Raw genomic sequence first — 22,010 nt, 5'->3', positions numbered from 1 at the left:
GAGGAATGTGAGTCCTTTTAAATTATCAGGCCTAGAAAGACATTAAAATGAGACAGCAAGTCCATCCTAACCCCCAGCTTTTGAGCTATGTATTCATCTCTTGAAATAGCTTGTTATTGTCCCTAGCAGCTATAAATTAACTAATAATGCTGCACTGGAAACTATAACTCACAGCCTATAGCTTAACAATGTCTAGCCAACCACTAATCAATGCTTTTCTGTAAACCAATGAGAATTCTTTACAGAGAACTTTGTGTCAGCCTACTCCCTGTCCCCCATATTTGGCTTTAAAAATTTGCTTGTAACAAAGGCCAAAGGAAGCTCATATCCAATGTTACCTGGGTGTGAATCTTCCAGGCAGTTGTCCTCACACTTTGGCTCAAGTAAACTCTTTAAATTATATTTTGTGCCATAGCCTATTCCCTTTAGGTCAACACAGAGATTATGGATGTCTGTTAGAATGGTTACTAACACTAAGAACACATGAATCCAGACTCAGTATCATGTTCAGACTTTTAAAATTAATTATTGCATAAATAATTTTCATCTGATTTCTTGATACATGCTAGATATTGGCTAGTAAGTATGTTAAGAATTTGTGAGTGTTTTGCTAAATTTTAAGATTCTTCCCCAATGCTTGCTACTTAAGCTGCAGGCAAAACTGAATTAAATTTAGCCTTTCTAAGATGATAATGAGCATGACATTTATTTTATGAAATGAAATTTGATCAGTTCTAGTGTTTCCTGATTCTTTTTTTTTTTTTGACCCATAAACATTTTTACTGGTTAACCAAAGAAAATTTTCAATACAAAGTACCACCCTTGAAAAAAAATCATATATTTATTTTGAGGATTTCAAAAAGGATCAATCAAGGAATTAGATTAATTATATAAGTTTCTTTTGAGAATGGCTTGATACATTTCTGTACATTTTAAGGAACAAGTTTTACTTGGAATTCTTTTTATTGTGGCATCCTGCTGTATTTAAAAAGAGGGCTGCCTTTAAATGGACATGATACATAACAAGCTTGTCTCTCTATAAGAAAATTAATTTGTAAAACAGTCTTAGGATTATTCCATATTTCTAAAGGCATTAGCAAGACCTTTAAAATGTGCTATTTTAACTCCTTGGGAAGTCCTTAGCTCTTATCCTACAACACTGCCTCATGACATCACTTCCTCTCCCACAGATCTGGTGTGGATTTTTCTTAATTCTGTATTTGCCTCATTCACTGGTGTGTTCTCTTCTTTACTTTCTCATTTATTGACCCACACAGTCATTTAACAACTATTTCCAACATAAAGATAAAGAACTCAAAGAAATATAGGACATTGTTATTCAACTTGGAGGGGTCATAATAAAAACATTTGAATGAACATAAGAACTGTGAGAATTCAGAAAAATAAAATAGTTTGTTGAGTTTTATTTTCTAATTACATCATAGTGGTAGTTCTATTAAGAGGCTCTGATTTCTGATAATATACATCTTAGCCTTTGCTGTAAAATGATAGAAATGCTTACAACTTACAGAAAAAAAGAAATAAAATAGTTGCTGTTTGTTCCTGCAGTTAGACTGGTACATATCATTTCAATGAAATTATTCAATAACATGCAGTAATTTCAATGGATTGCTTTTTAGAAGAAGAACCACAGTATTGAACCAAGTTTTAAGTCATACACATCTCTGAAGTACAGGAAAACCTGTTCTCATAGGGAAGATGAAAGCCAACTCCAAATAAAGTATTGAGCTTTCAAGGGAAGCATCATTTTCTTTCCAAGCTTCCACCCAAAGTTCTCCCACGCTCCTCTTTCTCATTTTCTTTCCTAAATGCATTCTGAAAAGATAATTTAAAAGGTATTGCAGTGGGCTATCAGGAAGCATATTTACCAGTTCCTTCAATGAAATCACTGGGGAAAGGGTCCAGCTTTGAATTCCATTAAAAGAAAAAAATTGTAATATTTCCTTGAAGCCAATCATAAACTTAGTATTTGATTTTCATCCTTCTTTTCTTTTCCATTATACACAATAAAAGTTGAATTTAACAACAACAACGAAAATGGAACTTATAGACTCACTTATCTTTAAAAAAAAGCTGAAGCTTATAGGATTTAAAATTTGATATAATGAGGTAACATTTCAAAGCTTATATGGGAGATGGGATAGACATGGTTCACATCCAATAATTTTAAATTAAGCTTTTAGTGTAGGTAGCTGTATTTGTAGACAATATGATTTAACAAAATGCAATATGTTCAAATCCACGTAAAGAGAATTATTTGAAAAGTGAGTGTCTTTTTGTTCCTGGTTTATTATTTAAATTCATTTTCATATCTCCAGCTTGCTAGTAGCCTAATGAAAATAAAATTTCATAATCCAAATATAACTTGGTCACTATTGGATAATTGATCTATCAGCAGGTTGACTTCTTCCAGCACTACAAATTACAATTTTAAGCCTTTTTACCTCAATTTTCCCCACTCAGTAAAATGGTATACAAATTTCCATCAACTTTGTAATGGATAACCCACTTGATTTTTTATGGCATTAAGTATCCTGTAAAATGTACCACTAAAGTAGAAAGCATTATTATTTACTGTCTGGGTGCACATATTTAGATTCAGAATCATGTTCAAACTAGTTTGTCTGTTTTGTTTGACTGCAATTTTTTTTAAAGAAGGAAACCACAGAAATTATTTGGCTGGTGATGCTTTTTTTTTTTTGAACTGATTAAATCAGCCCAAATCAGTCTAAAAATTCAAACTATTAAGATATGAGGAATGTAGTACTCAGTCACAGAGTAAAGGAAACAAAACCAAGCATTTCTTCAAAAACGTGATTCTAGTCAGTGTTCGCTGATGGGCTAGAAAACAAAAGAAAACAAAATTTAAAGGTGCCTCTATGCCCCCATCTTTGGCATCCTTTAATGTCAATGTCACTTGTTCTGATTTGTGCTGGGCAAGGAAAGACACTGTCCTTTCCACCCCAGCACATTTGACAAGCACTGACACTCTGGGCATGCTGTAAAATAAAATAAATACATTAGTAAGACCATTTCCCTTTTCATTTCAGCCTAGGCATAAGAGATGGGTTACTTAAAATTCAAGTGCCAGGAAAGCCCATTGTAAAAGGGAAATATTTTCAAGTGAATTCCGTTTGATCTTTTTTTATAGGGGCTCCTACAAGCCTCTCTCCCTTCCTCCCCAGACCCTGGAAACCAATTAGTCTCAGCACAGAGGCCACAGACCAGGTTGCAATGGCTCCTTTTTATTTTTAGGGGGTATAATTTCAGCCAGGATGTCTAGTCAGTTGTCACATAGTATACTTAGCACACTTCTCTCTCACACACATATATATACATTGGATTTCCCTTCAGAGAATGCACAGATCTTTCAGTCTGACTCCTAGAAAGGAATTAGATCTGGTTGCTGTCCCAATCTTTCAGCAATGACAATGGCATAACATCACAGGGCCACCTCATCTTTCACAGACAACCCTGCCAACCAAGTTTTCTAAAAGCCTTCTCTCCCTTGTTTTCTGTCTTCCAGCATTTCAGCGGCATTTCCTTTCCTTGTGTTGTTTGTACAAAATTCTGAAAACCTTTTCTTCCATTTTCCAAAGTAGCAGACAAAACTGGACTAAGTTTGATTTTTAAAATGCTTTTGACATGCTTATCTTTTGGGGAAAATTTTATCCAAAAGACGAAAATGGAAACAATTAGAGTCTTTGCCTCTCCTCACCTTCCTGTCCTGAATCTGCCTTAATTCATGGAGGTAAAAAAAATGATCAGCTGGGTTGGCCTTTTCTTTCTCAGCAACATTGCAGAGAGAAAGAGGTGAGTGTGTGAGTGAGTGAGTGAGCGTGTGTGTGTGTGTGTGTGTCTGTCGTGTTGAAAGGCTTGGGGAAAAAGGAGCACAGCTCTCCCCCAGGAAAGCCTCAGATCAGCAGATGGGAGGGAACCTAGGGTCGCCTTCCTAGGTCTGAGCGAAGTGTCCCAGCCGCTCCCCTTACCCCTGCGGTGAGCCCTGCGTCCTGGAACGGTGCCAGGACTCCTGACAGAGCCTGGCAGGTCGGTGGGTGGCGGGGAGCTGGGTGTTCTCTTTGCAGAAGAACACCATTTGGGAGAAAGCTCCCTTCTTTTCCTGGGGCACCGTAGCCCGCCTTCCTTCCCCTATCATTTTTTACGCAGATCGCACTCATGATGATGAACTTGCAGCTCAGCTTCCTGCCGCCTGCTTGACCCGGGAGCACCAGCAGGCTACCGGGCCTCGCCCTCGGCTCCCTCCTCCTCTCGAAACCCTGGGGCTTCGGGGCACCGGTGGGGGTCCGAGTGGGCAGGGACTGCGGGAGGGGCGTGCAGGGGCGCGGGGTCCCGCCGGGGAGCGCGCACGGAGCGGCGCCTCGGCCGCCCTGCTTCCTGGAGCTGTGCTCCTTTGACCCCAGTGGCAGTCCCTGTCACTGCACCGCTCGCTCTCCCTCCGGCTCGCCGCGCCCTCGCTCCCTCTCCTCGCCCCCTCGCTCGCTCTCTCCCCAGATCGAGGCTGCTCGGGTCCTTTCTCCCCCCGCCTCCCTCTAGCGCCGCGCCCCCTGGCCCCCAGCCCCAGCCTGCGGCGGGACCTCCGGGGTCGAAGGTTCTGGCCCGCTCGCGCCCCTCGCCGCCCCCGCGCGCCCCCAGCGCTCCTCCAGCCGGCTCGGGCCGCTCGGCTATGGATCGCCTGCTCGCCGGGCGCTGAAGGCATCCCCGGGATCCGGAGCGCAGCCCGGGAAAGGTAATCCGCCCCGGGAAGGGAGGCGGAGGGCGGGGGAGGGGGAGGAGGCGGCCGGGAGCCCGGTGCCGAGCACTAGAGGAAGGGAAAAAAATGCACACACAAAGCGGAGCCCGGGTGAGAGGTGCCTTGTCAGAGGCGCGTGCGAGGGGCTCGGAGGCTGCGGACCCGGGCTGCCCCGGTGCCCCTGACATCCGCACGAGCGGGCGCCTCCCGGGCAATTCGGCGCTCGGGGAGGGCTGATTTTCAACCCCTGAGCGAAAGCAAATTCTTTTTTAGGAGGTGTCTTCCCTCCGACTCCCCATCCTGCGCCTCTTCTCTTCTCCACCCCCTCCAGCCATCAGTCCCCCGACCTCTGGGGGTCCCCACCTCTTCGCTCCCTCCTCCGCCAGGATTTCTTAGGAGGAGAGGAGGGGGTATCGGCGAGAAGCTGGGGAAGCCGGGCGGCGGGGATGGGGGTGGGGACGAGGGCTCAGCGAGCTGTTTACTAGAAAGTCCCGGGGTGATGTGTTCGAGCCGCCCCGGCCTAGGCCTGGGTGCATTGTGTTGGCCCGATCCCCGGGCTCCCGCGGCGGCCCGAGGCCAGGTGCAGTGACGAGGGGAAGGCACCGCGCAGCTTTGTGCTCCGGCTGCGCCCCGCGGCCGCCCCCGGGGCCGCCCGCGCGCGCCGCTCTCGCTCGGGGCTCTTTCTCACCCCGTCCCCGCGCCCCAACCTCACTCTCCGCCGCTGCCTGGGTCTCCGCGCTCGCAGCCTGCGGAGCGACCCGGCGACCCAAGCTGGGGTCGAGGCTAGGCGACGGGGGACGAGTACCGAGGAAAAGTAACCGTTGCCGCCGGATTTCTTCTCTACAGAGGCAGGAGTTTCTTTGCTATTTACGTATAACAAGGTTATCTTTGTAAAGCCTTTGAATTCCGGGGTTTTGCGGCCTAGGAGGTGAAGGGGGCATTTTTCTAGAGGCTCAGGAGCCGGTTGGAATCCGTCAGCAAGAAAATAAATTAAGGATGCCCCAGTGAAGTTGATTTATAATAGTACATCACCACCCCCCTCTCACACACACACCCCAAATTAAGTGCAAATGCGGGTCATGAAAAATGTATAATTGATTTGAGATGCTGCAAACAAACACAAACAGGTCGGGGGGGTGGGACAAACAAAAGTTTAAGTGAAAAAAGATGTCAGAAGAGGGGGAGATCCCGTGGCCTCCACACCCCCTTCCAACGCTCGCTGGCTCCCTCCCTTCCTTTCTCCGCCGTTCCAGGGAAGGAACCTGGCAGCGCCCAGGCGTAGAGCAGGGAGGAGGCGGCGGCCCCGGGCTCGGGCTCAGCGCTGTGGGTTCGGGGATGCCAACGCGCCCGGGAGGCTGAGGTCGGGGACGTGGGGCTGTGATGCCCGACCGAGGATGGCGTGGTGTCAGAGCCATTGGCCGCCGGTGGTCATCAATCAATCCAGAGCTAGGGAAGAGGGAGAGAAAAAAGATAGGCGTCCAGCGGAGCCCGGGGCCGCCAGCGCTAGCGCCAGCAGTGCCAGCAGGAGCGGCGGCCGAGGAGGTGACGGAGGTGGCAACGGGGGACTGAGCGAGTAAGGCGCTGGTGTTTCAGGAAGGAAGGGGAAGTTGTAGCCGGGAAGAGCCAGCCGTGAGCCTAGAAGGGCAGGGCGAGTGTATGTGGTGTGTGTGTGTGTGTGTGTGTGTGTGTGTGTGTGTAGTTCATAAAGCACCCCCCACCCCGCCTCGCGCAACTGCCCACCACCCTAGATTTAAAACAAACAAACCAATCCAAAGTAGAGAATTCCGCGCCCCCCACCGCCCCACCTTATATAGACTCCACGAGTTGCCAGAGGCTCCGGAGAAAAGTCTTGCCCTCCCTCTCCGAAAGAATGTGTCACCCGGGTGTCCGCAGTGCTGGAGACAAGTTCAGGTGTAAGTGCGGTGGGAGGGAGGGCGCTCGGTGGACAGAAGCACGTGGAACTTTATGTCAGCCTCCCCCAAAAAAACCCTGGCGGAGAAGCCCGCCGGGAAGGCGTGTGGGCATCGCTCCCAGATACAGGGATGAGTAACTGGAAGTGGGCATAAAAGAGTAGGGGCGTGAATTAAGAACGCACTGGATCTGCGCGGCAGAGGGAGGAGAGAGCGAAATTTGGCGGATTTGGAGCAGGCAAGTTCCAAAGTCCCGCCAGGCTCGGTCTGGAGATCTTGGGGCAAGTGATTAAAATGAGCATCCTTGTTGAAACGAGAAAACCGCGGGCTCTTTTCTCATAGGCTGTGCTGGGCAGTGCAGGGGTAGAGAGGTCATGAGTTGTTGCTTTGAAAGTTTTGGTAAATTGGACTTCTGGTGTCTAGGAGGTGGAGACAGTTATTTAATTCCTCAGCTTTTAATCCCTTCATTGCCAGCCGACTTTAAAAGGTTTTCCAACTAGATTCCTGGAAAAGAATATTGCTAGTTGTACAGCTTAAAGGACAGAAGTGATTGCTGTCTAGGAAATGCAAAATGTACTCACATGATTTTCTTTTTAAAGAGAAAAATCAAACTAGCACCAGCATGAATGTTTGGCAGTGTCAGTCCCTTTTAGATTTTTCTTTCGGCTTCTTGATATTTCGTCCTGGGTTCCTTTGTTTTGTGGAAAGTGTGTTGAAGTATAAAATGAAAATTTATGAAAAGAATAGTGCTGTCTTTAAATATTGTGTGTAAAAAGTTAAAGTAAGTGTGAAGAGGGTGAGATGCACGAAAATCTGATCATTTGGAAGGTTTTACTGCCTAAATATACATCTTCTTGATAGTTGTAAGCAGTGTATCCTTCTGTCTTGTTTCAAGCTCTCTCCAAATTTCTCAGGTTATAGGAAGTGGTTTTGTCTATTGTCCCTTGTCTCTGAGAGTTTACCAAAAAAAAAAAAAAAAAAAAAAAAAAAAAAAGAAAAAGTCTTTTCCAGGTGTTTGTGTTTAAAATTCTTAAGATGTGTTCATTTTGAGATACGGGTGGGGATGAACATAGCATTTTAAAAAATAAGCCTTTTCTTGACTTGTCTGTAAAGGTGCTGTGAAAGTTTTGAAGCTCTCTGCCTCAGTCTGACATTTTCTTCAAAGGACTCCAGATTAAAGAAGATAGACGCTGCAGGTGCACTGTTTCGATGAAACATTTGAAAGGGAACATGGCAAAGATGAATTCAAATGAGGTGCCAGCCACCCATTTAGCCTTTCAGAGTTACAGGGGCCTGTGCTTGCTGATGAAAAGATGTTCTATTTGTCTTACTGGGGCAAAGGTGCAAAGAGGCATAGATGTTCAGTGATAGAGAAGGTTGACATTAGGATCAAGCGGACCATGTAGAAGTGCAAATTGATCAGCTGCTAAATTCTGTCTCTTCTTAGCTTCAAATAGTAGAACTTGGGTGGGTATCATGCTAACTGCTACAAGTCATTACCTAGATGTTTAAATATTAGGTATGTATATTTTATTTCTAGGCCACATTTGCTTGGTTTAATTAGTGTGTTTACTCCAGAAACATTTAAAATCTTTCTAGTACTGGGTGCAGAGATTGTTACTCAGAGGTCACAGCGGTCTAGACATGAATTTGATTTCCTTTGCTTCTTAATGTTCAGTATTTCACACAATAGACATTGATGGAAGAATGAACATAAGAATTGTCAAGTAATTTTTACACCACTCTCTAATTTATGCAAACACTAACTTCTCACAGTCTGAAAATGTGAATTTTTCCCCCTCTGTGCTTTGATGGCTAACATTCTTTTTAATGACAGTCATTTCTATAACAGGAAGATGTTTTCATTTGTATTTACTTTTCAGCGCGACGCAATTATGCAGTTTTGCGCTTCAGTAGTGTCTCGGTACTTTGTGTCTCAAAAGAGAATTACAGTACTTAGAACAGGACTGCAATTTGAAGCAGGTGTTGTGTTTTACTGTTATGCAAAATAACAGTAAAATATAATTGTGGGAGAAATTAAGGAAACAGCTGCAAACTTGGTATGAAAACTGCTACATTATGATTTGTAAGCAGTTCTTATAGATATCTTACATCAGAGGAGCAGGGAAAGATTTTAATTTAGTTAATCCTACTGGCCTGGTTGTCTATCATCTGGCGCTTAAAAGACTCATACCTCCCATGAAGTCAGGAAAAAGAAAGAGAACCCAAAGTGACACTTTGTTTAAAATGCCAGAGCACGGGGATTCATCTCTTGGCAGTGCACTTGACATTAGGAAGGCAGGCAAGGTGGGTGTTATTTAGCTTGCTTTGCTAATATGAAGAAGGCAATGATTTGAGTAGAACACTCTGGAATTTCTTAGCCCAGCTAGCATATGGGGGATTACTCAAGCCCCGGGTTGTAAAATAATAAAATAAATGGCCTATGGCAGGCCATCTGCCTTTTGCTCGATATTTAAGGTGTTTCATGCCAATTTTAAATCTCATCTTATTATTCTAAATATTTTTATTTGAAATAGCAGATAAGATTCTCAGAGCTTAATGGTGCACATGGCAAACCTATTCTGACGTTGTGCACTTAAAGTAAGAGCATGGGTTACCTAAGGGTTACCCAAGGAGTGTACTACGGCTTCTTCTCTACCGCACTGATCAATTGCAACAACTTGGACATGAGAATTTGCTTCCCTCAGCCTTTGCACACCTACCATAAAAATAGACATCTTCATTTCTCAACCCAGTGCAGCAAATAATATATTGACATTTATGAAAAAATCAGAACTAATGGAAATTTTAAAAAATGAAACCAATTACTGAGAATTACGTTGCACCAAGAATGAGGTGGCAGATGTAATGGCCGCCCTTCTTTACCGCTCCATCGGGGCTTGAAGAAGGGAGGTAATGAATGCATTCAAAGTGGTGGTCCAGACCTGGAGGTGTTTGGTTTTCCCCTGAGTGACTGGAGTGTTGAAAAAAATGACACTACATTTAACAAGAAAGATTTGCCTTACCATAAGGTTCTGGGCCAGTGAGGAATGCCAAGCATTGCCTACCTGTGTATTTTGGGAGCTGCTTGTGAAAGAAAAAAATATGTGTAATGTGTGGTTATTATGTGCATGTTATAGTAATACACATGTATTTGTTATAAGCACAACATTTTAAATTCTTATCTGTCATTGTGTTATATAGCTGCTTTAAACATGGAGCTTTCAAATGATTACGTGACACCAACTTTGTAAAGACCAAACATTCCAATTAGCAGGGCAGGTTTGGAAGATTCTTCACTTGGAGCACAAACCATGTATAGCCAGATGCCATGGCAACGGTGGATATGCCCCTTCCGTAATTCACGCTAAGTGCCATAATTATAATTAAAGAGGAAATCTTAGTTTGAACTCCATTGAGAAGATTTGCTAGCACCCAGCAATATGTATAGAGTGTAATATCCACTTTGAAGTGCATGAAGGGAAGAGAGTTGGGAACAGTTGTATCCATGAGCCAACAACACATATTCAGATTTTCCCTGAACTAGTTTCATGTCTAGATGTTAAATTTATGTCTCTTAGAACACCCTTTTTCTCTTTGTTCTCATTTTATATACATTTTTTTTTTCTTTCAGAAATGCACAGCGGTATTGATGAGTAGATCCTTGGATTCAGAGGTTGGCTGAAACGCACCATGCCTGCTTCCATCTTTTGCTCTGTAAAGTTGTGAATTGCTCATGCCTATAGGGAGGAAGGATGGCACATGGGATTCCTTCTCAAGGCAAAGTTACCATAACGGTGGATGAGTACAGCTCAAACCCCACCCAGGCATTCACGCACTACAACATCAACCAGAGCAGATTCCAGCCTCCACATGTACATATGTAAGTATCGCTTATGAACTTAACAAAATTAGCAATCAAGAAAATAAAAAGAAAAAAAAGAAAAGCATTCACTATTAACTTCTGCTAGGGAGACTAAAAGGTAAATGATTTACAAATCAGATGGATATCTGTGGTTTCAAATACAGCTCAGGAGGAATCCCATACATCTGTGTAACATTTCAAATTTTCAGAGCACTTTCAACCACAATTGAAATTAGATTTTCAGAGCCTCTGAGGACTGGTGGTTGGTTGCCCCTATTTATAGATAAGAACGGAAAAGAACAGAGAGGTTAAAGTATTTGCCACACAGCGAATTTGCCTGAGACTCCTGACCCCTAGTTCAATTTGCTTTACATTGTATTGCTTGCCTCCATTCTGAAATATTTCTTTAAAATTTCTGTAGTTTTTTTTTTTTTTCCCACACCTCACCCCACTAGCCCTTTACATTCAGCTGGGAAATAGGCCTAATTGGGACTAATTGTCCAGCTACTGCTAGATCCATTGTCTTGCCTGTTGCTAGTGAAACGTGTGCTGCATGCTACAGGACTCAAACAATATGGGGAACAAAGGAATAAGGGACAGTGGAACAGTTGGTTCCAGGAATTGTACTTTCCTCTCACTCCCTAATACTATTTAAGTCATGTTGAGGTTTAAACTGTTTAAGGAGCAAAGTGTGGCAGAAACCCAGAGGCAAGGATTTTGCAGCACCTGGTTGCACATCAACTTTTTTCTGGTCCTCTGCTACAGGATGTGCTGGGCTTTCAGAAGAAGGGAGCAAAAGGTCACCATCTCTCTTGTTTATTCAAGGCCTGGTGCTCATTCTCTATGAGACCCTTCCAATGTCTAACATGAGTCTTTCATAGTAGGACTAAACCTCTTTGAAAACTATTGTATAGTCAAGATAGAAAGGAGGTTAGAGCTCTGTTGACTGTTTTTACCACTCCTGGAAGAATTGAACTCGGGGCATGTCCAAGTCACAAGCTCTTTTTTTAGGAATTGTTTTACATGAGCATTTAAAAAAAAATAGTAGGACACCCCAAATACACACACCCCCCCACCCTGGAATTTACAAACGCTAACCAAACAAAAGGGTCTTTCCATTGACTGCCTGGATATTAGTGTAAATACTAGGATGTTGCTTTGCAAGTATATTCTGGAGAGCGAGTCAGTTACCTATGATGAGATTTCTGCAAAGCAGCCGTTTTAAAGCAGCATGCTTGAGTGACCAAAAAAAAAAAAAAAAGGAAAAGACAATCCTTGTAAGTGGTTACTGCTAAACTATTTGAAAGAACTTTATACGTTCTTTAAATGAGAATATATTCATGATTATGAAGGATCGCTAACATGATTTTAAGGAAAAATGGATAAAGTTTTTCTTTGTTAAAATAGCTTTTCTGAACAATAAATATCTGTTTAATTCAAATATTCTTTTTATTCTACTGTTTCTATTTACTTGTTTTTCTTCAAATATGTTACAATATTTGTGTAAGCCATACTTTAGAATAGCTTCAGTTCTGTTTTGCTGGTGTTATGTTTTTGTATTAAAGAACTACAAGGAACTTTGTAGATGCTGTTTCCATTCAAGCAAAACAAAGTGTGTTTTGCCCAGATTCCTTGGAAAATGACTGCTGGGGAACCTCAGCTTAGTTCTCAAGTCTGCAGACATCTGCTCACTTGTTCTTGGCCTCAAGATTCCACTGGCGAACTGTGAATGCACAGAGATATTTTAAAAATCATGTAACTTTAAAGTTGATCTGCTTTTATCTAGCCATAACAAATTTGAAGGATCAAATTATACCTCTTTTGAAAAAAATGGCTTGAAAATGGGGCAACCTAGACAGCTGTGTAGTGCTTTCACCAGACTCCTGATCTTGGAATAGAGGATTCTTCTACAGGCTAGTTCCAGTGTACCTTTTCACTTTTATTGCCAATAAGGGCTTCCCATCTGAACCCTCTGCTTCAGCCACACAGTTTGGCTCCCTGTCATCTGAACACATCTTAGCACCTTCCATCTTGGTGCCATTGCCATCACTGTTTCTTACAGAGCGTAACACATTTACGCTCTGCTCATCAAATGCCTCAAAGCTAGTTTAGGTTCCTCCACTTAAGCCTTTTCTACCTATCCGTTTCCAATCCAAAATGATCATGCCTGCCCAAGTTACTTGGCAACACTTTATACCACCTCCATTATTATTTTTCTTAATCTGTCTGTTTCTCTGTCTACCTACCTACCTATCTACCTATCTGTATCTATCTATCTGCCTATCTGTCTCTTATTCTTTTAATTTTTTACTTCTTAAAGAAAGGCTTGTTCTTCTGAGCAGGTGACAGATGCTCAAAAACACTGGTCAATTGATCCATTGATTTGATTATGCATTGAATAGAGAGAATAGATTGATGCTTGGAGATTTTCACTGGAATTTTTCTGTCAGTTCTTGACATTTTGAATGTTTTCATGATGGTACGTGTTGTCAGGAGGCTGGCTTACCTTTTCCCTGGCTTTACTCTTTCTTGCTTGAGAACATGCCATTGTTTTGTAGGCCTGATGGCCTCACACAGTGACTGACCTATGGTAGGTGGTCAGGGATCTTGGTTGGATTTAATCATGTCATATTTCTGTTATGTTAAGAAACAAAAATTGGCCTTAATCTAATTAGAAACTTTAATTGGCTAGAAAATATCTATAAAATATTTAGTCTAAAATGTCTTCAGTTTTTCTGAAAATTTCAACATGTCATGGCAGAACTTTGCTCCTCTCCCCGAGGTAAAGATATTTTGTCTTTTCCACTTGCGTAGTTGCTCATTTATTTTGCATGGGATTGTTAAATTATTTGCTTCCTTTTTTCACTTACACTTGAGATTTCTGAAGACCCCTGACAGATCACTTGGATTATAGTTAAAAACCCTATCCCTTTAATGATGTCTTACTTTCTTTTCTACAGCCTTGTGATGGTAGTTGGGGTTTTTCACCTTAATTAGGAAGAGCTCACTTCCCATTTAATTCAATTAGTCTCAGCTCAGCTTTGTGACTAACAAATTTTCTTTTCCAAGTCTCAGTTTACTCATCTGTAAATATTTGCACCAAATGATGGTTAAGGATCTTTTTAGCTCTGACTTGCTAAGATTAAGATTGCAGTTAAGACAATGTTTATTTGCAAGGCGATGCTATTAAGGAAACAAAAATAAATAAGACCCAGTCCCCATCTTCATGAAGCTCATTGCTGATTTCAGAGCTGATGTTTCAAACAGCTTTAAGAAGCATTGGTTTAGTTTTCATCTCTGAGTTCTGACAAGATTACCACCAAGCTCTCTAAGAATGACTGGCTTGAATCTCTGCTTGTTATGGAGGGAAGTTTTTTTTTTTTAGAAAGCAATCCTGTATGACCTTGGGAAAGAAAATTAAAGCACAGCTGGAGTTGGCAGAGCAAAATTTAACCTAGAATTTGTGTGCCTCACTTACCCAGACTCTTGAGCATACTAATAGATGTGATGATTGAAGCCCAGCAATTAACAGGGTTTCATTTTTCCACAACCCCTTCATCTTTCCCAAGCAGAATGATAAGAAAAATTATTTAGTATTTTTAATGATGGTGGGAGGAGGTGCTGAAGGAGCCAATGTAGGTCTGAAAACACCATAAAGATTTTGTATGTGTTTCATAATCTGAGGCCTAATCAAATGTTACAAAACTTTATTAGTAGGGTATCCAGCCATTTCAGTTTTAGCATTGAAATCCCCGTGTTATTGGAATGCCATAGGACAATAGGATACCCTACTCAGGTTAATTCTTCATGTTTTTCTTTAAGGATTGACGACTAGGGAACTCAAATCAAGCCTTGTTTTCAGTTTTAGCCACTTTCCTTATCTGCGCCTTCTGTTGTTAACACCCCTTGAATCTTACACTGCACTTGTTCTTTTACCCTGGTTCTGTGGAGGCAGGTTAGCATAGTGGTCAATATCACCTGTGGAATCAGATTACCGGGTTTAACATTTGCTTGCACCACTGACTAGCTGTATAACCAACTGTGAATACATACTCTAACTTCCTTATGTTTTATTTTTCTATCTGTAAGATCCGGACCATAAAAGTAATGCCTATCTCAAAAGGCTGTGGAGGATAGAAGGATGAAACAGTATTACATGTTAATGCTTATACATACATAGTCTATGCTCAATAAATGTTAGCTGTTATCATTAATAATTTTTTCATTGATTCTGGGTTTTTAATTTTAAACTGCCAATTCATTTGAAAAGCAGTGGAGTGTATACAAATGAATAAATAAAGTCATTGCTAAATCTTGTCCTTTCTTCCTCATGGAGCTATGAGCAGCAAAGAGTCATGGAAACTTTTCTAGGTGGGATTTTGGTTTGTCAGGGTTGGCAAGTGTCCCGGTTTAGTGCCTTTCAAGATTATAAACAGCCTAGGAGTGTCTCATCCACCTCCAGTTACTCCACGGGAGTGGCAGTCCCAAGGCGGGGATGGAATCTTGTGAGCTGAGTGCTGACTGGTTGCTGTCTGTGGAATCACAGTGGCCTTCCTCCACATGAGCTGGACCTAGGTTCTCTGTACCCCAGTCAGTTTCTTAGACTTCCTATCTCTATCTGTGGTTAAAACAAAAACATCAAGCGCTATCTGTAATTAACCAGGATTGAGTGCAAAAGGCACAGCTTGGGCTGGGGAATGAGGACAATATACACATGGTAGCTGAGAATATGGTCTGAAATCAGCGATCTGTATACAAATACTGATCCTGCCAGTTACTGGCGTGGCTGGGTGATGATGGAAAAATTGTTGAACCTGTCTTCTCATCTGTAAAATAGGTTTAATGACCCTTTAATATGGTTGTGAGCATTAAATGAAATGATATATAATGACATATAGTGCCCAAAAGATACCACTTGATAAATAGATTTTATGATAATATATATGGTATTGTCTACCAGCTGATGAGTATGAGATAAGTTGTTAACATTTTCCTTTCTAAACTACTTGGCTATATGAAACCTGACAAGTCCAACTTGTTTTATTTTGTATTGTGTAGTATCTGTCAGTGTTGCTTGGCCATCGCTAGTTAAAAAAAAAATCTGTAGCTTTTAGGGTATCTGGGTGATTATTTCATGCCAAAGTACTACAAGATTTTGTTTGTCTGATCTGAGATTTCATTCTTATTCAGTTCAAGAATGTGGTAGGAAGTAAATGTTTGTTTTAGTTCTGTATTAGATATGCTTACGTATAAAAACAATGTTACAGAAGAGTGTTATAGAAAAGGTGTCATTTGGCTAAATAACTATATAAAAGTGTATGGAAGGATAAATAACATTACTGGTGATTTTTAGGGAATACATTTGGAACTGAATTTGCAGGAGGGAGTGTTGGATAAGGACCTTTTACTTTTTATTTCTTATACTTTCATATAATTTGAATTATTCTTACAACAAGTATGTAACACTTTTATGATTAAAACTTTTTTAAATTGATAAAAAATGTAATTTGTCTCCAAGTCCTTATGCCTGGCCTGTAATATTTGCTTTAAAGTCTTGATCTGATGCAAATCTTCTATTTTCTTTTGTACTCACTTTCTTGGGTAGCACCTTCTTCTATTTTATATTGCAATCAAGGAATAGGCCAAAGGCTGTTCATTGGTTCAGTATAACTCAACTTGCTCAAGTGTGGGAAGATGAGAACAGTGTTGCCTACTTCGTCGTCTTATAACTGATTGGAAATTTTTAAAGAAGTATGGTGTCACTTAATGACAGGGATACATTCTGAGAAATGCATCTTCTAGGCGATTTCGTCTTTGTGCAAACATCATAGAGTATATTTACACAAACGTAGATGGTATAACCTACCATACACCTAGGCTATATGGTATAGCCTATTGCTCCTAGTCTACAAACCTATATAGCATCCTACTGTACTGAATACTGTAGGCCATTGTAACACAATAATAACTATTGTGTATCTAAATATATCTAAACACAGAAAAGGTATAAGAAAGGTAGAGTATAAAAAATTAAAAATGGTCCACCTCTATAGGCACTTACATGAATGGGGCATATAGGACTGGAAGTTGCTCTGAGTGAGTCAGTGAGTCAGCGGTGAGTAAATGTGAAGGCCTAGGACATTACTAAACACTACTGTAGGCTTTATAAACAGTCTACACTAAATTTATAAACAATATTTTTGTTTCTTCAACAATAAAGTAAGAAACAGCTTACTGTAGCTTTTTTACTTTATACGCTTTTTAATTTTTTAAAACTTGTTGACTCTTTTATAAGCCAGATTAAAACACAAATACATTGTACAGCTGTACAAAAATGTTTTCTTTCTTTATATTCTTATTCTATAAGCTGCTTTTGTACCAAACTTTTTTATTTTTATTTTTTTGCTTTTTAAGCTTTTTGTTAAAAATTAAGACATGGTGGGAAGGGAATGAAGGATTTAAACTACATGTTGGATACATTGTACACTACTCAGGTGATGGGTGCACTAAAATCTCAGATTTCATCACTATAACAATTTATCCATGTAACCAAAAACCACGTATATCCCAAAAGCTATTGAAATAAAAAATGTGTGTGTGTGTATAAAACTAAGACATGAACACACATTAGCCTAGGCCTACATAGGGTCAGGATCATTCATATTACTGCCTTCCACCTGCACATCTTGTCCCACTGGAAGGTCTTCAGGAGCAGTAACAGGCATGGAGCTGTTATCTCCTGTGATGACAATGCCTTCTTCTGGAATACCTCCTGAAGGACCTGCCTGAGGCAGCCAGGGTTTTAGTTAACTTTGTTTTTGTTTTTTTAATAAGTAGAAGGAGTACACTCTAAAATAACAACTAAAGTATAATACAGCAAATAAGCAAACCAGTGATAGAGTCATTTATTTCATTGTCAAATATGATGTACTATCCATAATTGGATGTGCTATACTTTATACCACTGGCAGGGCAGGTTTGTTTACACCAGTATCACCATAAACACATGAGTAATAAGTTACACCACAATGACATTATGACAGCTAATGTCATTAGGCGATAGAAAATTTTCAACTCCATTGTAATCTTATGGTACCACCTTCATATATGTGGTCTGTCATTGACCAAAATGTCATTATGCAGCTCATGACTGTATTTTCAAATCCATTTGGGGAAGCTAAAAGAGTATACAGTAATAGACTTCTTGATAGCGTTTCAGGGAATCTGCATTCTAGTCCTGTCGTGATCACTAATCAGCTCTGATATTTAGCAAGTAGGGCCTCTCTGAATTTCAGGTTCCTTACCAGCCAATAGACGTAATGGTCTTAGCATCATCTCTTCCCCTTTTAACAGTCTGGGATTTCTCCTATTCCTTACCTTTACATTTGTCCATGTAAAATTAAGAACACAAATCCCACATCATTAGTCATATTCTTTAGGGAAAGAATATAATAGAGACATCATTGGGATATGGTGGTGAGAGAAGAGAAATGACCCCTAACGCTCACACAGAGGAAAAGTCATATCAGTGGATGAATGAATGAATGTCTGGGACTCTGTAAAATGGCACTTACTAACAAGGTAGAAATTTATTTTGTTACAGAGTTGGGCTGCATTTGCTGTTTTAAAAAAATTCTAAACATACACTTCTTTCTTGGTAAGCCACTTTCTTATTTTCATTACAGATTCATCACTGTCCTGCACATTAGCATGGCCATAATTTGTAAAATGTTCTCAATCTGAAATTCATCATAGAAATGCTGAATTGTCCTTTTAGTTTGCACTTTATATATAAACACTGGATATTTTTATTTTCTTCTCTCATTTATTCTTAAAAATACGTTCTTTTTCCTATACACTCCCTGAGGGCACCTGTCTTGTGGTCCGTGACAGTTGGACTTCATTTTAGAGCTGACTTTTTCCCTATTCTGTACATTTCTTTGTTTGCACTCAAGCATTAAAGAAGCAATCTAAAATTAGATTTGCTTTTTGTCCATAGGAATTTGTTCCTAGAACCCTAGCTGTATGTTGCATAATTGGACAGTGGTTTTTGTTTATTTGTTTGTTGGCTACTTGACTTTCTGGGAGGGTAAAGAATTTTGATGAAATAAAACAAATCCTATCTTCTATGTTATACCTGGATTTTGGGTTTGGAAAGTTACCTACATTTGTAGGGATAAAGAACGACTCATAGAGAAAGCATAGTCATCGTCAACTCATAGACATATCCTGCAACTAGGAGCCATCAGATCACCTCTCCTTACAGACTGAATCTATCTATCTCCTGCTCTAAATACAATTTTTGTTTTCTAAACTTCTTTCATGGGGATATTTTGGTAAAAATTATTCAAGTGGCAAGACAAGCCAAACAGGCTGTAATGAAATAGGTAGTTTGTGTTTGCAACATACTCGATTTTAATTCTAAGCTTTCAAAGCTTATGAAGATGAGATTTTAAGATGTAGAAACAAAGCTAATGCTGCTAAATCTACTGCATCCTGCACAGCAAACTCTAGATTATTCTGAACTGTTTCCAAAAAGGAGAAGCTTACTGAGTCTTGGAAGATCTATTCATCAGTTTGTTTTTCTTCTTTTTCAGTATTGCCTTAGCTCTTTCCTTCCCATGTCTTTTTCCCTTTTAGACTTTCATAGCTTACTGGAAACTAGATGTTTAAGTAGCTATCCTAGCATGGTTAGACTATTATTTCAATATCAGTATGGACAAAACTGCTGCAATTTTGCAGACCACCATCTTGGTCTTCTTTTTTTTTCTTTTTTTGTTATTTAATGTAAAAGGTACACTTAGAAGCTTTGTCTGTGTGGAAACACTAACTCTGCAAAGAGGAAACTCTGTTGAATTTATTGGCTCCTGCATTATTTGGGTCTACATATTTTTATTCTATTTTTCTTTGAAGATTGGTTTTATTCAATTTCTGTCCCTGTAGAAGGGACAAAATATATGCAAATAAGAAAATGCATTTTTGCAGATTTTTTTATTTTTTTCTTCTTTACCACAAATCAAGAATATAAGCTTCTCTAGTTGATTTACATTTTTGTGCAAGTTTTTATTAAGCCTCAGAGCTGTTGAAACTAGTTTAAAAAAAAAAAAAGAAAAAGAAAGCTAACATCACCATGGAATATAGGGAACAGATAACTTTTTCACATTTGATAGTATTGAGCTTTAAAATCCTAAGTGAGAATTAGACCATTACCGAAGTTCCTCTGTTGGTAGTGGCTTCCTTAAAAAACTGCAGGACTCTACATCAAAACATGGACTCTACTGAAACTCACTTATTTCTTTGTACAGACTGTCTCTGAAACCTTCCAGCTCAAAGATTTGATAATTCTTGGATTGGAAAAATATCCTTTCCTGTCTTGCTGTGGGCTTTTTTGGCATTTATACTGATTGGCTAAGAAAAGTGGCTTACTTGTGGTATTTGGCTTTAGGTATTTGGGCCAAGGACCAAGTTTCAAACCTTGTACATATTTGTACACTTAGTTTAAAATATGTTTTGAACAAAGACTTTAAACTGAAATCAAGAAAAAAATTAAGTCTCCCACCAGCTAAGCAAGCTCAGCCTGTTTCCCTAATTTACTGAAAGAGTTAGCCTTCTTCTATGACATAGGCATTTTACTAGCTCGTTTAAGTCCTGAGTTTTGGGAAATTTTTCTCCAGTTTGTTTTATTTTGCTTTGCCTGGAGACTTCAAAGATAACCACCGAAGCCTATCAAACTGTATTCGATTTTTTAATCATAAAATCTTAACTATTGCTCTTAGCACCTTTTATTTAATACATTCTATGTTTAAGAATGATACGACTTTTATGTACTGGTTCTGCTTGGATAGTGCTATGGTTTGAATATTTGTACCCCTCCAGAATGCATATGTTGAAATCCTAACTCCCAAGGTGGTGGTATTAGGAGGTGGGGACTTTCAGAGGTGATTTTCTCATGAGGATGGAACCCTTATAAAAGAGGCCCCAGAGTAACCCCTTGTTCTTCTTTCATATGAGGTTACGGTGAAAAGATGCCTGCCTGTGACCTGGGAATTGGGCCATCAGCAGACACTGAATCTGCCTTGATCATGGACTTTCCAATCTCCAGAATTGTGAGAGATAAATGCATGTCTTTTATGAGCTACCCAGTCTACGCTATTTTGTTAATAGCATCTCAAACAGCCCAAGGCAGGTAGGCAGGGAATATAATGGGAAGATGAATTTTATAGAGGGAACAAGAGGAGAAATGGGCGTATTTGTGAAGGAGAGAGGGAAAAAGTAGGAGGGAATATATAGCAGATGTGTTTGTGAGATCATAACTCTTCCTTGTCAGTTACGATGTCCTGACCTTGGGCTTGACTTTAGCACCGGGAGCAGGTCAGCATCCCTAGACTTCAGTCAACAGGGAGATGAGACAAAATTGCAACTTGGCTTTCTAGGGTACACGTGCCGACTCAATATACCAATGAATCTAGCATATGAAAGGATCAGGATAGCAACTTTTGATACTTTGACCTATGTTGATCTCTGAGAAGGAATGATTTTTGGGATAATTCAAAACTTTTAGGCTTGTATTTCAATATTTTTTAAAAAATCATTTGACAAATAGTGAACTCTGAACTGACTTTCGAGAGATGTAAGACTATCTGAAGTTGTGATTTCCCAAGGTTCGCCATCTGTTAGTATCTGGGAGACTTACCATATGTTGTGCTCAAATTCTGACTTTTACAGGTTAACTTGTTTTCACTTTATTCTTCACCCATACATTTTGGGTACAGCCGGTAGCATTGAAACCTTTCTTGACTCAATAAACTTAGAGAGAAGAATGGTGAGGAAAGAACAAACAGGCTAGGAGGTGTTGACTCCTAAAGGATATTAATTCTTAATTCTTCCATAATGCAATTCAAAAAGTCTAATGCTTTCTTCATGTAAAATACATGTAAAGGCTTGGGTATCCTGTTTGGTACAGTGGTGTGAGTCCTGTTCTAACCCCTCTTGCAACTGATCCTCCTGAGAATTCGGAAGGGAAATAATAATCCCGTGGGAGTCTGTTTGCTCCACGTTGTGCCCCTCGGTGGTGGTGGATGGCTCCCCTGTTTTGCATCTCTCCATCTCGACCCCACCACGATGTTAATGGCTGTCGGCACGCTCCACTGTTTATCTTGGAATTTGATCCCATCATCTTGGCAACCAAACTGGGACCTTTACTGCTCAGATTGTTTGTCATTTGTTGTTAATTATCTGTTACTATAAATTTTGCACTTTGAGAAAAAAGGGAATGTTTTGAAATATTTCCTCCAACATGTAAGTGGAGCTTCATTTTCTGTGGACAAAAGAGAACAAAAAAAAATGAGCCCTTTTGGGAGCTGGTTTTAGGGAAATCAAGTGCCCTGGTTTTTCAGATGGGCTCAGTGAGATCCCACTAGTGCAGCCAGGATTTGCACTGAAAGAACCTTTGCAATTCAGCAGT

At 40.4% G+C, this 22,010-nt stretch overlaps 1 protein-coding gene and 1 long non-coding RNA gene across 29 annotated transcripts in view, besides 1 other annotated feature; one reads left to right on the top strand and one right to left on the bottom strand.

The window, feature by feature from the left end:
• Window positions 1–6,660, bottom strand: part of MPPED2-AS1 (MPPED2 antisense RNA 1) — a 49,179-nt gene extending 42,519 nt beyond the window's left edge. Inside the window, exons 1-2 of one of the 2 annotated variants that reach the window (NR_183761.1) lie at window positions 6,577–6,660; window positions 5,849–6,217 (exon numbers count right to left, since the gene is read on the bottom strand). This is a non-coding gene — a long non-coding RNA (MPPED2 antisense RNA 1). Of the gene's footprint in view, window positions 1–5,848; window positions 6,218–6,576 lie in introns of those variants that run through there. The other variant, NR_183760.1, reaches the window with a different exon arrangement.
• Window positions 3,820–22,010, top strand: part of MPPED2 (metallophosphoesterase domain containing 2) — a 202,912-nt gene continuing 184,721 nt past the window's right edge. For 10 of the 27 annotated variants that reach the window (NR_165336.1, NR_165339.1, NR_165341.1 and 7 more), the window contains exons 1-2: window positions 4,457–4,768; window positions 10,316–10,564. Coding sequence is in view for 12 of the 27 variants with exons in the window: in NM_001145399.3 (NP_001138871.1) it covers window positions 10,437–10,564 (128 nt within the window). In the remaining 15 variants the exon portion in view is untranslated. Of the gene's footprint in view, window positions 3,835–3,937; window positions 4,018–4,456; window positions 4,769–5,255; window positions 5,653–6,087; window positions 6,345–6,609; window positions 7,936–10,315; window positions 10,565–20,557; window positions 20,733–22,010 lie in introns of those variants that run through there. The other 17 variants (NR_165344.1, NR_165343.1, NM_001377952.1 and 14 more) reach the window with 12 other exon arrangements.
• Window positions 4,503–4,552: a silencer, noted in NCBI's record as "silent region_3217". NCBI's record gives its function as "represses an Ori minimal core promoter by ATAC-STARR-seq in GM12878 lymphoblastoid cells {active_cell/tissue: GM12878}" and the evidence as "EXISTENCE:reporter gene assay evidence [ECO:0000049][PMID:35858748]".

The sequence above is a fragment of the Homo sapiens genome, chromosome 11, assembly GCF_000001405.40.
Source record: "Homo sapiens chromosome 11, GRCh38.p14 Primary Assembly".
Lineage (NCBI taxonomy): Eukaryota > Metazoa > Chordata > Mammalia > Primates > Hominidae > Homo > Homo sapiens.
This window is presented reverse-complemented; position numbering and strand designations above follow the sequence as displayed.